Here is an 18879-nt window from a genome sequence, read left to right on the forward strand (position 1 = left end):
TAAAAGTGTTGATCTCTTTAGTCTGTTGGTGATGGTTTAATAGAAAAACTTACACTTTTGTTTTGAGATGTATAGCTTATAAAACTGCTTAATTGGTGACTTCAATATTGAGAGATTAAGGTACCAAGAGGGACTTGAAATTTTTACAACCATATTTTTTAGTACTATTTATTATTAGTCTTTATTAGAATAAAAATTCATGGGTGAGAGTGATGTTGAGGTGTAATAGAGTCTGGTAAACTTGTTTAATCTTCATTTTGGAATGCAGTACTTACATATTTTTAAAAAATGTTTGCCTTTTGTGATTATTAGATAATTACTGAGTTGTGTTGTGAAATTGAGGAAAAATCAGGATCTTTGATAGATTTGTAGAATTTTAGAAATATCTTTAAGTTCTTGAGCCCTGAGTTGCTGTTCTATGATTGTTGCTAAAATAGTTTATTTGGTTTATCTGTGCCCTGCACACACATATAGTGGCGGTAGTTCATTACTGCATATTAATATAGCCTGGAAGCATAGTAGCTACATTTATATTTAATTTTTTGACCTTGTATTGCCATTTGTGGATATTTTTGTATCAAAGTATTTCCATATTATGTTTTTGAATTTCACTTCTGAAATGATAATCAGAGACAACGTTAAATTTGATCATTTGGAATCAGTCTTTTACATAAAATGTAAGCTATTTAAAATAGTTAATTTTTAAAGCCACTATTGATGTCCCTTTGTTTAAAGTTCTATTCATGGTCACTATAATAACACGAGGCTCTATTGTGGGGTTATGCATAAACTCACACTACCTTATGTGATCTTATGTTAATGCTTTCCTTTTAGTATCTTCTTGTAGCTTGGTAATATTTAAAATTTGTTGATACTCTCTTTGGTTGTGTTCATTATCTTCATTTAGGGAGATGTTGGGGAAGATTTTGTTACTAAAAGCTGTTACATATTAAGGTTTTGTTTTAAAAGGACTTTGAAAAAAAAACTCTTAAGGTTTTCCTTGCTACTATTTAATGAAATTTCACTGCATTGTGTCTTTTGATAGCCATTTTTAAGAGAGCATTTAATTTACTAGATAAGGATTCAGTTTGACCTAATTTGATAGAATATTGCTGTGTTTTTTGTAAAGGGCTACAGATTTTTTTTTAAGTTTAATTTCTTAAGGAATCCTTTAAACACATCTTCTTCTTATTTGCCTTTTCCCTCTGATGTCTATTACCCAGAATTACTCCAAGCTACATATTTAGCTGCATAAAGCAGTGACAGCTTGTCTTCTAAACAATGACAAATTTTAAAATCAGATATTAAGAAACCTTTTCATAGTTTCAAGGGCAGTGAGCTGTATGAACTTGCTTATCAGGTATTAGTGCCTCCAGGGCTATAAAAAGGTAACACATTTAAATGACTATCATACACAAGATATTGACATACCTTCCTTGGTCAGGCCATTTATGTGAAGAGGATTATGCCCACTGAAAATACTTTTGGCACGCCATCACTTCAGCAAAAAAGATGCTATCGAACATGCGCACATCCCCCAACAGTCTGCCTCCTGCGATTGCTTTTCACAGTATCCAAAGTGTCCATCTGTCTGCTTGTCTTCGAGTTACCCTCCTTGTTCATATGGGTCCTAGTCTTCTGAAATTTTCCCTTTCTTTCATTTTCTCTCTTTCGTTAAACAAAAGAGCTGTAGTTGCCCGTTCTGCTTGTAGCACTGTTGACTCTTCCCGACAGTTGATGCATTGAAGCTTTTTACATCTGCTATTTTCCTGGCTGGACAATGCAGTGCTGTGTTCTCGTCTCAGTATCCATATTTCTACTAATAACACTGAGCTGCAATGTAAAGCAGCCAGAGCTAAAATGTAGTGCTTCAGTTGTATTGGAAAAGAATAGGATTTACCTCTCTTCTTTCGTTGTTGCCTGGCAGCTGCAGGAAGGATTTTGAGCAGTTTTAATGGGGTTTTAGTCTATAATATGAAATCCACGGTTCCTCAGCTGCTGCACAGGCAGGCAGCAGTTTAAATGTGGGCTTGACAGATGCTCTCTCTGACAGAGCAGAATTTAACGTCACTGCTTGGCTGAATCCCACGTGATTGTTTGCATTCATTTTGACTAAAAACCTAAGGTAGGGAGAAGCTTAGAGATTTTGCTTTTATGTGATAAATTATATATGTTGAATGCAAGTGTAGTGATGAGTGAATAATTTGAAAATGTGATGATTATGAAATGGTTATGATTTTATTTTTTCCAGCTTACTTCCTTTTTTAACTTTATTCTTAAGTACAGGCTTTCTAAGTGTTTTCTGTGTTAGATGTTGGTTTTCATGTTTCTTACATGCTTTTGTAGGGTGTAAGCAGTATAAGCTTTTGTGTGTAAGTTGGTGTAATTTAACCCCTTCAGTGCATTCTCTTCTTGAAGTTTTTTTTCTCTGCTTTCAAATTGCTCTTGATTTTTTACTAATATGTAGTTAAGACCTATGGTTTCTATTGAAACCATGTATCTTTGTAATTTAGATCCCCCCCCCCGTTTTCTGGGGTTTGTATAAATAAGCTGTCTTGGATTACTTTACTAATGCATGATGTGATACAGCCCACTTCTTTTTTGCTCTTATGTGGTTTTTGGTGTTCTTGATGGCAGAAAACTTTATTTTAAATCACTTTTTAATGTTGTCATTTATTTTTTATTTATTTTTCCTTCCCTTTAAAATTACATGTATCGTAGAATTCAGTAAAATGATGTAATAGATATAGCACACTTGTACAGGATCTGGGGGTAATGAGATTTTACTAATTATGTTTACTTATTCTAATGTTTCAGAAAGATTTAATAACTTGCCATGAGGCAGATTTTATTAACACTACACACTCACTGAGATTTTTCTAATATGGTTAGTTTCTGGGGCTGGCACCTTCTTTTCTTACTGCAGAGCAGTAGGGAAGGTTTTTTTAAATTTTTTGTTGTAGTAAAAAGCCTTTATTATCAGTTTTTCCTCTGTGACTCTAGGGACAGTAATTCAGTCCTAGAAAGTTATAGTTTTGGAGCTTAAGCTAAAGGTTAACAGTTATATACATATTCTTCATCTCACTGCCTCCACCATTAATATATGCTATTTCAAATGAATATGAATTTGTTTTCTCTGATATTAAAAAAAATTTTGTCCACATATTTTTGAGCTTTGCTGATGAAATGTGCTTTGTAGTTTTAAGAACCCCACTGTATTAGAAATGTTAGAAGGATCGTTAAAGAAAAAAAAGAATTTTATAAATAGGAAACCTAAAGCCTAGACTGAGCTTTGACTTTTCCTAGTTAAGTTTGAAGGAGAGGACTAAAACCCAACTTCCTTGTAGTCTATATCCACCCATACTGCAATTCTCACTCACTACCGTTTTGTTTTTAAAATTAGTTTACTAGTTAACAGAGTAATGCTTAAGAACTTACTTAAAATAACTTATTTTCCAGAAGTACAGATGTGTTTTTGTAGATCAGTATTTATTTATCAGTGATTCTTTACATAGGATTTGACTATGAAGCTAGCCACAATGACCATTTATGGAGTATTTACTGAAAATCAGATTGCGTGCTAAGCTTACTTGAGCTGTTATGCAAATGGCTCTTTTCTAATAATTTTATTATTGTAATACCCACTTAAAAGATGCAGAACCAGTGCCTGGAGTTGTAAAATAGTCCAAATGTCAGATAAATACTGATAAGAATAGAGGCCAAGCTGGGAATTGAAGCAAGATTATCTAAATTCTTATCCTCTGTGTTTTTGTTTTCTTTTTAAATCTATCTAGTACTATCATTATTCTCTGTTCTTAAACTTTTTATTACATGGCACTGCTAGAGAAATTGTGGGATTTTTTTTTTTTCTGAACACTGGCGCAGCATACCCAGGAATCATTAATAGAATAATAAATGAATGTTTATATTTTCACTTTTTCAACAGGTACATATTGATTAACTACTGTGTACCAACATGTGCATTTAGGCATAGCTTATTAAGTATAGGGGATACAAAGTTGATTTAGAGACATTCCCTACCCCTTTCTCCAGGAAAGGACTAAATAATTATTATTCTTTTGCCAGTTCTTTTGATTGGATTTTTTTAATGTCTCCCTGGATTATTATAGATTTTGATTATTAAGAGAGTTATATGGGTAACGTATTCATTAGTGGGTCCCTCCAGTATCGGATTGAGTCCCTGAATTTCCAGTGGGACCCCCCCGCCCCGAACTGCTTGTTATGGGACAAGTATTTAAACAGCAAGAAACTTCCAAATATTACTAACAAAAGGTGCCTATGTACTTAACTGGAATTTACTTCATACTTTAAAAGTACAGCTGCAACCTCTTTCTTTCTGTCTGTCTGTTTTTTTTTTTTTTTGGAGACAGAGTTTTGCTCTATTGCCCAGGCTGGGGTACAGTGGCACGATCTTGTCTCACTGCAACCTCTGCTTCCCAGGTTCAAGAGATTCTCGTGCTTCAGCCTGCCGAGTACCTGGGATTACAGGCGTGTGCCACCACACCCGGCTAATTGTTGTATTTTTACTAGAAGTGAGGTTTTACTATGTTGCCCAGGCCAGTCTCAAACTCCTGACCTCAGGTGATCCACCTGCCTTGGCCTCCCAAAGTGCTAGGATTACAGACGTGAGCCACAGTGCCCAGCCAACCTGTTTGTTAAATTTAAGTTAAGCTAGTTAAGAACTTTACGTAAAGTTCAGGAAAACAGGGCAGATGTGAGATAAAAGTTCCTTTAGTAACTTTTTGTAGCAACCTACATGTTTCCAGTCAAGAGAAACTGTAAAAATCTTATGACAGGAGAGCTTGTAGAAGTTCTTCCTTTAGTCTAGTTTCTTTTAACATCTGAATTCTATGGTTAAACTAATTCAGTAAATGTGACAGGTTTCTTTTTCAGATTCAGCAAACTGGCAGCTATTTTGTTAAGTTTTATAGTTATAAATGGCTTGTAATTGTCACTTGCATAAGTCTATTTTTAATCCTACAACACATCCGTGATGGCAAAATAGGTGGCCGTTACTATGTGCATCATGGCCAGAGCTGTCCAGGCCGGTTTTAGCATTTTCCTGGGCATGTCTAGTATAGACTTCAAGGAGTCAGAATTTAAAGACAGGAATTGTAATGCCTCCTAATTGTCAGTTTTTACTGGGTATAGGAATAATTATTTTTGTATTCATGTAGTTAATGGTTTTGAATGATTATTACATGTTGAATCAGATGTAAATCTGCTGTTCAAGTGGCTACTAAATAGTAACTCATGGAGTTACATCATCTGTTTATCTATGTATGTACATTCAACAATATGTCCTTGGTAAAAAGATTAAAAGAGAAAGGTAGGGGGAGAGCACTTCAACCAGGGTGGATGATTTTCATCTAATGGGAATGAGCAAAATCCTTGAGTAACATTAGAAGGGAGACATGAATCTGGTCTTCTTATATTGGTCTCCTTTCCTGTTTGTGCTTTATTATGAGTGGTTGGTCCCTGAATTCAAGGAATTAATTTCAGCTAGGACTTACCAGAAATACCAGCTATTTTTTCCCATGTTGGACAAAAATCTTAATGTTTTAGATCAGGTATAATTTCCACCATACCACTCTGAAAACTGTCACTTGACACAATTATTTAGAGACCAATTTTAGTTTTATTGAGATGACTAGACAATTTTGCATGATGTTTGCTTGGAGTTTATTTCTCTTGACTGTTTTTATTTATAATCAGATGCAGTCTTTTTCATTACATAAGGGATTTGGACAAATGGCTTGTTTTTGGTTATTTAATATTAGTATAGGTAGTTTCCCCTTTTTGAAGAGAAGTCAAATGTTTATTAAAAGCTTGTAATTTTCCTCTAAAGTCAGTGGATGATTTATGAACCAGCTTTACTTTCCTTGAACTCACAAAGCAAGAATTAGCCTGATTGCAAATAAGCAATCTCAGAATGACCACAAGTGTCAGTGTTTGCCTGCCTTATTTTTCTCCTTCAGTTTTCTTGTGCAGCAGATAGGCATGTTGTTTAAGAATTTCTTTTGACTTGAAAACAAAGCTAAATTTAAGTGTCTCTTTCAGAACTAATTATAGACACCTTTATCTGTTTTAATTCATGCAAACTATTAACAATGAGCATTTACAATCAGCAGTGATTTGGCAAATACTTTATTATGCTTGTGTATTCCTTGGTTTTTCTGAGGCACAGCTGTTTCAGTCAGGAATAATACTCTTAGAGCTGTGGTTCTCAAGGGGGCAGTGGTAGGGGTAGTACTGATTTCTACGAGGTGTTCTAGAAGTTTGTGAGGATGTTTCTAGTTAACAGAATGATTTTTAAGGGCATTTTAGGGCCAGGGTAGGTAGTAGTCCAGTAGTGTGTGGGACAGTCTTTGTAAACAGCAAAGACTAGCTCTGTGTTCTGCAGGACTTCTGAGTGTTTCATTGGCTATCTGTGTAGGTGAAACACTTTTTTATAATTAAGTAAATTTAAAACATTGTTGGAACATAAAGTATATTTTGTTCAGTTTTAACGTGCACTGAATTATCTAGAAATGTAACTACAGTGTACAGTGAGGGAAGCTTGTACTTTGCTTTGTTCTAAACTTGGCCAATGGTTCACCATATCAAAAAATGAAATTGTGTTCATGGCATTTGAGTCACCAATATACCAGTCTATGGGCATTTGTAATTGTTACATTCACTATGACTTTATGTATAGGTATTAGCATCTGGTTAGTATATCTTCTGGTATAATCATGTCTGAGACTTACATACTGAAATGCATATTTTTATCATAAATCTCTCTTTTTGTTTGTTTTTTGAGACAGTCTCGCTCTGTTGCCCAGGCTGGAGTGCAGTGGCGTGATCTTGGCTCACTGCAACTTCCACCTCCCAGTTTCAAGTGATTCTCCTTCGTCAGCCACCCGAGTAGCTGGGATTACAGGCGTGTGCCACCACACTTGGCTAATTTTTGTATTTTTAGTAGAGTCGCGGTTTCGTCATGTTGCAGGCTGGTCTCAAACTCCTAACCTCAAGTGATCTGCCCACCTCGTCCTCCCAAAGTGCGGGGGATTATAGGCCTGAGCCACCACACCTGGCCTCTATCATTAATGTCTTTAAAAATTTTATTTGTATTAGTGTATTAATTTTTAAAATATATATGTAGATTGGTTGTATTACCTGTGCATTTCATTTCAGGTAGTTAAGAGGGGTCATTGTAAAGTATTTCTTATATAAATACTTGTTCCATGTAAAGTAAATATAAAGGGCATGTGTTGAATTTGATAGAACTGTGACATCCACTGGGTCAGCACCTTTGAATAAATTATTTCAGGCAGCTTACTCTCCATTCTCTGCAAACCCAGCATATTCTTGATATTTAAAATTATTAACACTATTAATTTATTTAAAGTATAACAAACAATTTGTAAATTCAAGTATATGTAAAATATCGAAACTTAAAATTCTACTAAAACTTTGCAAAGAGGCATAGTTACCCTAATATAAATTATTAGTATCAGAAAGTATTTATTTTAATGGCTGTAGTAGATACGAATAGAAAGCAAGTGTTGGGAGCCAAGCATGGTAGCTCATGCCTGTAATTCCAGCACTTTGGGAGGCCGAGATGAGCGAATCACCTGAGATTGTGAGTTCAAGACCAGCCTGGCTGACATGGCAAAACCCCATCTCTACTAAAAATACAAAAATCAGCCAGACGTGGTGGTACATGCCTGTAATCCCAGCTACCTGGGAGGCTGAGGCACGAGAATCACTTGGACCTGGGAGGCGGAAATTGCAGTGAGCCGAGATCGCGCCACTGCACTCCAGCCTGGGCGACAGAGTGAGACACTGTCTCATAAAAGACAAAACAAGAAAGCAAGTGTTGGAAGTAAGTAAATAGAATTTTTTTTTCCTAAAGGGCTTTTTTGAAGAAAGAAGGGAACATTGAACATGCTTGATTCATGTAGCCATCTTCAGTATGATTGGTTATGGCCCGATTAGAAATAGGGACTTCAGTGTAAAGGAACTTTGCGAAGTGCCGGGGTCTGACCTACAGAACCAGGCTGCACGATGGATGAATAACGTACTCAGACACTGATATTCAGTGAAAGAGCAGGGGGCCACTCACAGAAGGAGTTGTGGCAGCCACGTGCCAACTAACTGGCCTTGCCGGCATTTATTCAGCACAGATTTAATGACAAAGGCATTGAGTCAACACGTGTGTGGTTAATTAATCTGGTCACCCTCCGCTGGAGAGAGCAGTCCTATGAATGATCAAAAGCCAGTCTTAGGACCACATGTGTAAACAAGCTCTTTAGATAAACTCCCTTACATTCCTTTTTACCTACTCTGAGCTGTTAACTCAAGGTAAGAGAATTAGGCTGCTTTCAGCCATAACCCTATCCAGAGGCTTTTGCAAAACCTTCCGGCCTTCCAAGAAGGTTTGCTTTTTTCCTGTAATTTTATAATTTCTCCCACCACCCTGACCAAGCCCCTACAGCAAACCCTTACAGCAAAGCAGACAAGAGACATGCCAAGTTTATAGGATTACAGACCAAGAGATAATGTTTGACTTTTAGGGTTTGATTCTGTGCCCTGCCCCCAACTTCTTAGGCTGTATAAGGGGTTTGCTAACCTTTGGCAAATACATTAAGCATTTTTTATATGCAAGCTACAAGGGGTTGTGAGATGCATCAATAGGTTCCTTTCTTTGAAGAAACTGATAGCCTTGATGGATACATAGATCATTATAAAGATAGCAAGATAATTGGAAATAAGTGGTATTTAAATTTTGTCTTTCATATATAAACTCTTAATTGAAATTCATATGGTGTCACTCATTTTCACTGTGTTTTGATACTTTTGTGTTCCCAATTGAACTTGGTTTGTATTATGTTGTTATTCTTTTGATTTCTCATGCATTTCCTGTATTTTCACCCATTTTAAATAAGATGTGGTCTCATAGAAAATAGAATTGCTGAGTTTTAGTGAGCCAAAAAAAGAAAAATGTAGTATTTCTGTTTATATCCTCCATTTATCCTTAATTATTTGCTAATGAACATATTGTATATTTCTTTTTCACTGATTTTCTCTCACCTTTGAGTTTTATATACCCTTTTCTAACTTTTCACAGAATTTATTACTGTCTCCAGAATTTATAACGTTCCAGAACATTTCAGCTGTCTTACTTGTAGTGTGTGTGTGTGTGTGTGTGTGTGTGTGTGTGTGTGTGTGTGTGTGTGTTGTGGGGCAGTGATGGGTTTCAGGTAGTTAAGTATACATACAGATTTGTTTCAGTGTAGCTTCCTCAGTCAGTTTATTGAATCATACTAAATGTTTTCTTTTAAAGCTTGTAATGTTGTTACTTATCTTTCTACATGTATGCCAGTAACTATAATTCTGTGATTCCCAAAACAGCTAAACTAATAACTGATTACAAAGATATACCCTGTGATAGAAGGAACTAGGCAGGAGAATATGTTTTAATTTACATGGAACAAAAGAAGAGCAAATTTATATGGTATACCATTCTTCTACCTTTGAAGAAACCCATTTTGCATTATGTCTTCAAACTTAAATCAGTTAATTGCACATTCAAGGTTGTACTACAGTGGCATTGTTTCTAGTGAAAAGGTATTATTTACATTAGAAAAATGAAATTTCAGAGCAGAATTGGACCTTTGAGGTCATCTAAAAATTTATTTTTCTCACTTTATAGGTGAAGTAACTAAGACCCTGAGAGGCAGTGATTTTCTCAAAGTTCCTCACTTTGTGGCAAGTCAAAGCTGGAACATAGCTCTTAAGACTTACAGATCAACTTTTTTCACGCTGATTAACACTTCTGGTTATTTGGTATATTCTTTTAGTTCATGGACCCATATGTTACACAAATGATTATGTGTACCATCTACCTTATCCATGTTTCTCTGCCACTATAAAAATAATTCTGCCAGTTTTAAATGAACATAGTGGTTTTATTAAACCTCAGAGAGACTTATGACAGAATCATTCATCTGTGCCCTAAGATATGAGATCATTATAGACTTTGATATTAATCCAAGCATTATAGACATGCTTGGATTTTTGCTAATTGCAGTTCTGTGATAAAACATTTCAACTACATTCACATGGATGTCATTTTTTAATCAGTAGGTACGTAAATGAAAAAAGTTTTTCTAATATGCAAGAGTACCCCTTTTAAAGATTTTGTGATTTGTATCACCTTTTATCTCTTTTGATTCCAATTTGAATTGCTATATTAGTCTGGGTTCTCTAGAGAAATGAAGCCAATAGAATCTGTTTCTATATCTGTTTATAATTTGTGAAATAAATCTCTATATGTGTATGTACATATACACACATATAGATTTAGTATATTAGTTATTAGTATTTATTTTACTGGTGGTTTAACACACAAAACATAAGCACACATATGTATATATGGAGATTGTTACAATGAATTGACTCACACAGGTATGGAGTCTAAGAAGTCTCAGGATCTGTGTCAGCCAGCTGAGAGTGCATTCTCTTCTAACTCTGCCCTTTTGTAATATTCAGACCATCATTGAATTTGATGAAGCCTACTCACATTAGGAATGGGAATCTGCTTTACTCAATCTTCCTATTCAAACATTAATCTCATCCAGAAACACCGTCACAAACCCACACAGAATTTTTTTTTTGTCCAGCCTATTTCGTTTAGCGTAATGTTTTCAAGGTTCATTTGTGTTGTAGCACGTATTACAATTCCATTCCTTTTTAAGGCTAAATGACATCCCATTGTGTATATATATAATTTATCTGTTCATGTGTTGACGTTCATTAGAGTTATTCCTACTTTTTGCCTATTGTGAATAATGCTGCTATGAACTTGGGTGTAAAAATATCTGTTTAAGTCCGTGATTTCAAATTTTTTTGGATATATATACTCAAACAGAATTGTTGGATCATATGTTAATTCTTTGTTTAATTTTTGGAGTACCATCATACACTTTTCACAATAGCTGTGCCATTTTATATTCCTGCCAGTCATATGTAAGAATTCCAATTTCTCCATCTTCTCATTTATACTTGTTACTTTCTTATTTTGTTACTGGATTTTGATAATAACCATTCAAATGTATTTGAAGTAATGTCTTATGGTATTTGATTTGCTGTTCCCTAACGATTAGTGATGTCTGGTGTATTTTCATGCACTTATTAGCCATCTGTATCTCTGGAGAAATACCTATTCAAATCCTTTGCCCATATTTAAATTGGCTGGTTTGTGTTTTGTTGTTGTTGAGTTGCAGGAGTTCTTTATATAGTCTGGATATTAATTTCTTATATGTGTGACTTGCAAATATTTTTTCCCTTCCTGTAGGTTGCCTTTTCACTGTGTTGATATCCTTTGCACAAAAGTTTTAAATTTTGATGGAATCCAGTTTGTTTCTTTTTCCGTTGTCTGTACTTTTGGTTTCATATCCAAGACATCAGTGCTAAATTCAGTTTCATGAAGCTTTTCCTCTGTTTTCTTCTAAGAGTTTTATAGTTTTCACTCTTAAGTTTAGTCTTTTGATCCTTTTTGAGTTAAATTTGTATATAGTTTAAAGTAATGGTCCAACTTCGTCCTTTTGCGTGTGGCTATCCAGTTTCCCCAGCACCATTTGTTGAAAAGGCTGTCCTTTCCTTATTGAATGGTCTGGACACCCTTGTCAAAAATTAGTTGACCATATACGTGTGAGGTTATTTCTGGGTATTCTAGTCCATTAATCTGTATGTCTGTCTTTATGCCTCTTCTGTTTACTGTTGCTTTGCAGTAAGTTTTGAAATCTGGAAGTTTGAGTCCTCCAACTTTGATCTTTTTCACAATGAGTTTGGCTAAGTATTTGAGGTCCCGTGAGATTCCATGTGACTTTTAGGATGAGTTTTTCTATTTCTGCAAAAATGTTGAGTTTTGATAGGGATTGTGTTGTGCATCTGATAGTATAGAAATCTTAATATTTTTCTAGTCCCTGAATACAAATGTCTTTCCATTTGTTTGTGTCTTTAATTCTTTTAGCAATATTTTATAGTTTCAGTGTACAAGTCTTTTGTTTCCTTGGTTAAGTTTATTCCTAAGTATTTCATTCTTTTTAATGCTATTGTAAGTGGAATTGTTTTCTTAATTTACTTTTTGGACCATCTATTGTTAGTGTATAGAAACACAACTAATTTTTGTGTGTTGATTTTGTATTCTGCAACTTTGCAGAACTTGTCTATTATTAATATAACTTTTTTGGTGTCATTTCTAGGTTATTTAACATACAAATCTTGTCATCTGCAAACATATTTTACCTCTTCCTTTCCAATTTGAATGCCTTCTGTTTTTCTTGCCTAATTTCTCTGGCTGGAACTTTCAGTATTATGTTGAATAGAAGTGATGAAAGTGGGCATCCTTGTCTTGTTCCTGATCTTAGGGACAAAGCTTTGTCTTTTACCATTGAGTAAGATGTTAGCTGTGGGTTTTTCATATGTATCTTTATTATGTGGAGGACATTGCCTTCCATTCCTAGTTGAATTTTTAAATGTTTTAATGAAAGAGTATTAATTTTTGTCTTTTTTTTCTACATCATTTGAGATGACCATGAGGGTTTTTCACCTTTATCTGTTAATGTGGTGTATTATTAAATATTAATACATTGATTTTTCATATGTTGAACCACCTTTGCATTCCAAGAATGAATCCCATTAGGTCATGGTATATAATACTTTTAATTTGCTGCTGAATTCAGTTTGCTAGGTCGTGACTTATCCTTACATAAAGAGTGTTAAAAGAAAATTGTTTAACAGTTATTAGTCCAACTTTATTTTGGGCAGTGAGCTGAAAATACACAGACAGAAACACATATGCATATTGCAAGTAACTAAATACATATGTAATTGTATTAATAATTTTTTCATTTCATGTATTTATTATCGAGCTCCTTCATTAGATTGCAAGCACCATGAGGGTAGGGACCTCGTGCTCTTGTTTATATTTCTGCATTTCTGTTTTCTTATCTGGCACTTACTATGCTTTCAGTAAGTGTATGTAGAGGCCAGGTGCGGTGGCTCGTGCCTGTAATCCCAGCACTTTGGGAGGCTGAGGTGGGTGGATCACTTGAGGTCAGGAGTTCAAGACCAGCCCGGCCAACATGGTGAAACCCCGTCTCTACTAAAAATAGAAAAATTAGCCAGGTTTGATGGTGCACGCCTGCACTCCCAGCTACTCAGGAGGCTGAGGCACAAGAATCGCTTGAACTGGGAGGTGGAGGTTGCAGTGAGCTGAGATTGCGCCACTGCACTCCAGCCTGGGCAACAAAGTGAGATACCATCTCACCAAAAAAAAAAAAAAAAAAAAGTGTATGTGCAAAGAATGAATGTTGTTTAATTCTCTTAATAATCCTGTGTGACAGTTATTTTTGCCATATTCATTTAATAGATAAAGCAGTTTTTACTCAATGTAATACTCATGAATCAGTAATCCTAAGGCAAATATATTTGTTTTAATTAGTCAGTGTATAGTGATTAAACACCTGCCATGCACCTGGCTGTATCAAGATTGGAGGAGTAGTAGTTTCTGATGGGAAGTAAAGTACCTTGCAGTCTGATTGGGGGAAGCAGACAAATAATTAGGGAATTATATAGTATAATGAGGTGTTATGGTCTGAATGCCTCCCAAAATTTGTGTGTTGAAAATTAATCCCCACTGTGGTGATATTAAGAAGTAGGACCATTTGGAAAGTGATTAAGTCATGAGGGCATGGTCTTTACAAATGAATTAATGCCCTGTAAAAGGGCTGGAGGGAATTAGCTTAAATTCTTTTTTGCCCTTCCACCTTCCACCATGTGAAGACACTGTCTGTCCCCTCCAGAGGATGCAACAATAAGACATCATTTTGGAAGCAGAGAGACACAAAACCTGCAGGTGCCTTGATCTTGGATTTTCCAGCCTTCAGAATTTTGAGAAATATGTTTCTGTTATTTACAAATTGCCCAGTGTGTGGTATTTTGGTATAGTAGCACAAATGTCCTAAGACATGATAAAGGTATCCAGAAAATGCCAAAAGGTCAAAACAAGGGAACATTGGAATTAAGGGAAGAGAGAGAATGAGGAAAGAGAGAAAAAGTTTGTGAAGGGAAGTCTTCAAATCAGAGGTTACAAGGTATTAGTAGTTAGAAAGCATAGGCTTTGGATTCAAAAAGGCCCAGATCTGTTCTGCTTACTAGGCATGTGACCTGGGCAAGTAACTGGTTTTTGCTTGTTTGTTTGTTGTAGTTTAATTTTCTCATCGTACAATAGATACAACATCTACCTTAATCAGTTTGTTTAGAGGTTGGGTGATGAGAGAGAACATGTCTCAGCCGTTTAAGTGGTTACTTCTCTGGAGAGAGTTTCTGGGCTTAGGGAAAGAAAGATAAATTTATTTTTAAATTTTATAGCCCTTTATCTGTATATTTAAAGGGAGGGAAGTACTATGCTTTATAAGTATGTTAATTGTTTTCTATGTTAGCAACATATCGTATACATATACCTCAAGGTTATAAGAAGTCTTAAAAAAATTGTGCTTATTATTTATGTTGAAATGTTTTGCTTCTAAAATCCTTTATGTTTTTTAGCCTCATTGTAATTTGTCCCCAGAATTGCTGTTTCCTTTTTCTACAACAGGTTTCTCAAAACACTCTTTTAAAAGACTAGCTGGACATGGTGGCTCTCTCCTGCAATCCCAGCGCTTTAGGAGGCCAAGGCAGGAGGTTTGCTTGAAGTTTGAGACCAACTTGTGCAACAAAATGAGGCCTGATCCCTTAAAAAAAAGACTCATTCAATGTGTTTAGAAGTTCAGGCCGGGCACGATGGCTCATGCCTGTAATCCCAGCACTTTGGGAGGCAGAGGCGGGTGGGTCACTTGAGGTCAGGAATTTGAGACCAGCCTGGCCAACATGGTGAAACTCTGTTTCTACTAAAAATACAAACATTAGCCGGACATTGATGGTGCGCACCTGTAGCCCCAGCTACTTGAGTGGCTCAAGCAGGAGACTCTCGAGCTTGGGAGGCAGAGGTTGCAGTGAGCCGAGATCACACCACTGCACTCCAGCCTGGGTGACAGAGCAAGACTCCATCTCAAAAAAAAAAAAAAAGAAATTCACACACATATTTAAACATTCTAATCTTTGGGAATTCTAATTATCCAGAATTCATAGGAATAAGTTACTTTTTAAAATAAAGGTAAAAGCATTCAAGGGTATGACTATTATTTAAATAATTTTTAAAACATATGTGACTTTTGCCCTTATTAATACAACAGAAAAGTAGATAGGAAACTCCTGGAGTCTGCATATATGTTCTATATATGTTTTCTTCATAAAAACTTTCAGGCCAAGCGTGGTGGTACACACCTGTAATCCTAGCACTTTGGGAGACTTGAGCTCAGGAGTTTGATACCAGCCTGGGCAACATGGCGAAACCCTGTCTCCACCAAAAAAAAAAAAAACAAAAAACAAAAACTAGCCTGGCATGGTGGTGCGTGCCTGGAGGCTGAGGTGAGAAAACTGCTTAAGCCCCAGAGGTCAAGGCTGCAGTGAGCCAAGATTGCACCACTGCACTGCAACCTGGGTGAGATCCTGTTTTTTTAAAAAAAAGTTTTCAATATTTCACTGTTTCAGGTAACATTTTAAAATTAAATATAATGTATATAGTGTGTTCTTTTTCACTTGCAACAAATATTTTTTTCTGATGGTATTATATATTACGATATCTGTTCCACTTGTTTAAGCAGCACATACTGGTACTTTGCAAATATCAGAAGATTTTAGATGATCTCATTTGCTAAAATAATGAAAGCAAGGATTGCTTGTAAACAGCATACTTTGTTTTGTATTTTTATTCTTCGCAAATGTGGTTCTCTCACTGTTTTTCCCTTCTGTGTTAATTCAGTTATTACTTTTCTAGAATGCCTCAAGTCTTGGTGAAATTATAATGCTTCTGACTTTTCAAGAGAAAGCAGGTTTTCCTCTCCACTTAGCACAACTTGTCAGCTCTTTTGTTTTTGTGCCGATACCTTTCTTTTCCCCGCTGGGTAGTGTTTTTTCTTCCAATCCAAATCTTTAAAAATATGGAATTGTCAGTCTGTTCCATATTCCAGATTATTTTTTCTGTTTCTTAATACATTCCGTGTGTGTGTGTGTGTGCGCGCGTGCGTATAGCCTTTGAAAAATGACTTCACCTTTGTCTCTTCATCTTTAGGGTGGAGGGTGGTGGGGTTGATTTCTGCATTCCGTTATGCAGTGACTACTCCACCTTTACTTAAAAATAATGGAAATCAGAGTAGAATGTGCTTTTAGCCTCTTGGGTGGTGTTGGCTGGGGAGTCCTAGAAATGGCTATAAATTCATGACATGATTTGCAAAGAACTTCCCAGTTTTGTTCCAAGAAGGTCATATTCTACTGTTTTGTCATTAGTCTGTTGTGTGTCACAACTGTATAACTCTTTGTATGTGTATTGGCGGGGGTGGGTGTGTATACCAACTCAAAAATTAAAGTTGTACTGTACTGACCTTGGCAACTGAAATTTTCAGTAAGCCTTGAGAAGACAAAATTAGGTAACATTTTTTTTCTATTGCAACAGACAGGACTTTGATTCAACTGAGGCAAATGAAAGTGTGTGTGGGGTTTGTAGAGTGCTGAGATGGGAGATTTGACTCATGTAATCAAGAATGGTTAAGGGTAAAGTAGGTCTTGCAGGCCACTAGAAATAGATAGTAGATATTATAAAGTGTATTATATTCTACCTCTTTTCTTGCGTTATAGCTTAATTCTCTCTTTCTGCCAATGCATTTTCTCCATGAGTCAAGGGTCATCATCATCAGTGATTTTAGGCTTATTTCCTTGTAGCTAGTGGTTTTAACAGCTAGCTCTAGTCTGTAAAAAATAATCCCAGAGAAGGACTTTTGATTGATGTAGTCTAGGATATAAACCTTTCCTAGTGACCAGGGGATAGAGCTTATTGCCAAAAGGGAGTGATTGGGTCATCAAACAAGGATTATTACTAGGGAAACAGAAAATACCCATTATTGGTATTTAAAAGGATCAAGTTTTGAGCTTATTCAAAAATAGACAAAAATTCCTAAGGGTTACAATTTATAGTGGAAAAGGTTTTTTTTTCCATATTATTTACATATGCTTATACCTTTTGCCTGACCCATGTTGTAAAATTCGTACTCTTTGTTATATAATACAGGTGTACAACTAATTCAGTAGTTAATTGGATCACTTTCGGTTTGTGTAGTTATCTTTATATGCACATAATTTTTATTCTGGTGATTTTGAACTTAGGCCACTCTATTCCAAAAAAAAAGAAGGGCTTTGATTTGAATCTAGCCAGACTCATGGTTAAATGTGGACAGAAGATGTCTGCATATATGCCTGCTCATTGTTTTTCTGTCTCATTTTCTATGTATTTCCTCTTAAATCACATCCCCACGAGTCAGTATTTACATACTAGAATAGGTAAGTAATATGATTAGTTTACTCTTATTATATAATGTCTAGTTGATTCTTTATATAGGGGCTAATGTTCCTTTTAATGGATTCCTATTTAATGATTATCCGCTGGCTTCTGATTTTTTTAAAAATCTAGGTGCAGTTCAGTTCAACTAGCTGCAGTGCCCAGAGCCTATTATGCTCCAGGTACTGGAATTACAAAGAATAATAAAAACAGTTATGTCCCCTAACATGAACTTAGAGACAAATATAATCAGAAGGTTCCCCCACATCATAATGATGTTAAATATTTGATATGCTCTCCACCTTATGACTCACTTTTTTTTTTACATTTAAAGTTTTACCTGAATGTAATATAACTGGAGGAAAACCATATCATAAGTATGCTTGATAAATTTTTACAAACAATACATCTATGAAACCAGCACCCAGAATGACTCAGTAGTAAATACACCAATATATATTAATAACTAAATGCGCAATAGTGAGAATGTTGGAAAAAGGATATTTTGCTGTCCTCAGGTGTCTTTTTTTTTTTTTTTTTTCCTTCTTGGAGTTTTTGCTACCTACCTGCTCCTGCGGCTGTTGTTTCTTGTAATAAAGAATGGTTTCTGTGATGTTCTAACTGAATGCTAGGAATACCACTGTATTGAAGTGAAAGTCTTTTTTCTCCTGTACTCATTTTTATAGTCATTTATTTTTTTAAAAATGCCATGGGATAGCCTGCTATTTCAAACAGTTTTACCACGTTTACCATCTCAAATTTTGAAGAAAATGTAATGTAATTATAATTAGTATTTAGCAGTATTTCTTTGGAAATGTTTTTTGTGATGCTAATATTGATTTTAATTTTTATATATTTATGTACCTCCCCTGATAATTTGTCAAATTTCCTTCTGTTATGTACCACTAGTGTAAAGTCTTTATGAATTCATAGTTATGAAATTTACACTTGCAACTTTCTATAAAGAAAAATGTATTATGAAATATCACTGTGAATATGATTGAAACTTGCACTAAAAACAGACATTTTAAGAATCTTAAGCATTTCAGAGGCATCTATCCTTGAGTATATAATTGATATACTTCAACACTTACCATATTTCCATGTACATCTTACATTTTCAGTAATTATTGAGATTTGTTGTTTAGTTTTTAAGATACTCTCATCTGCTCTTAATTCAAATGTAACATCTCTTCTTTATAAATGTGATTTTTCCTGAATATTTTAAAGGCATTTAATTATTTGAAATGTTTGTTTTTTAAATACATTCCAATATAACATATTTTAGGTTTTTCCAACAGGAGGGTATATATCATTTATTTATTTTGAGATTGTCTAGAGAAAAAAAGATTGACTTGATTTTAGAACAGGCAGTG

At 35.2% G+C, this 18879-nt stretch overlaps 2 protein-coding genes across 2 annotated transcripts in view; one reads left to right on the forward strand and one right to left on the reverse strand.

Moving 5' to 3' along the window:
• Nucleotides 1–2026, reverse strand: part of B3GALT2 (beta-1,3-galactosyltransferase 2) — a 7884-nt gene extending 5858 nt beyond the window's left edge. Inside the window, exon 1 of the mRNA NM_003783.3 lies at nt 1432–2026. The gene's annotated coding sequence lies outside the window, so the exon portion shown is untranslated. The remainder of the gene's footprint in view (nt 1–1431) is intronic.
• CDC73 (cell division cycle 73) overlaps nt 1–18879 on the forward strand; it is a 132785-nt gene that overhangs the window by 62557 nt on the left and 51349 nt on the right. The gene's annotated exons all lie outside the window — the stretch shown is intronic.

Source organism: Homo sapiens, chromosome 1 (assembly GCF_000001405.40).
Source record: "Homo sapiens chromosome 1, GRCh38.p14 Primary Assembly".
Lineage (NCBI taxonomy): Eukaryota > Metazoa > Chordata > Mammalia > Primates > Hominidae > Homo > Homo sapiens.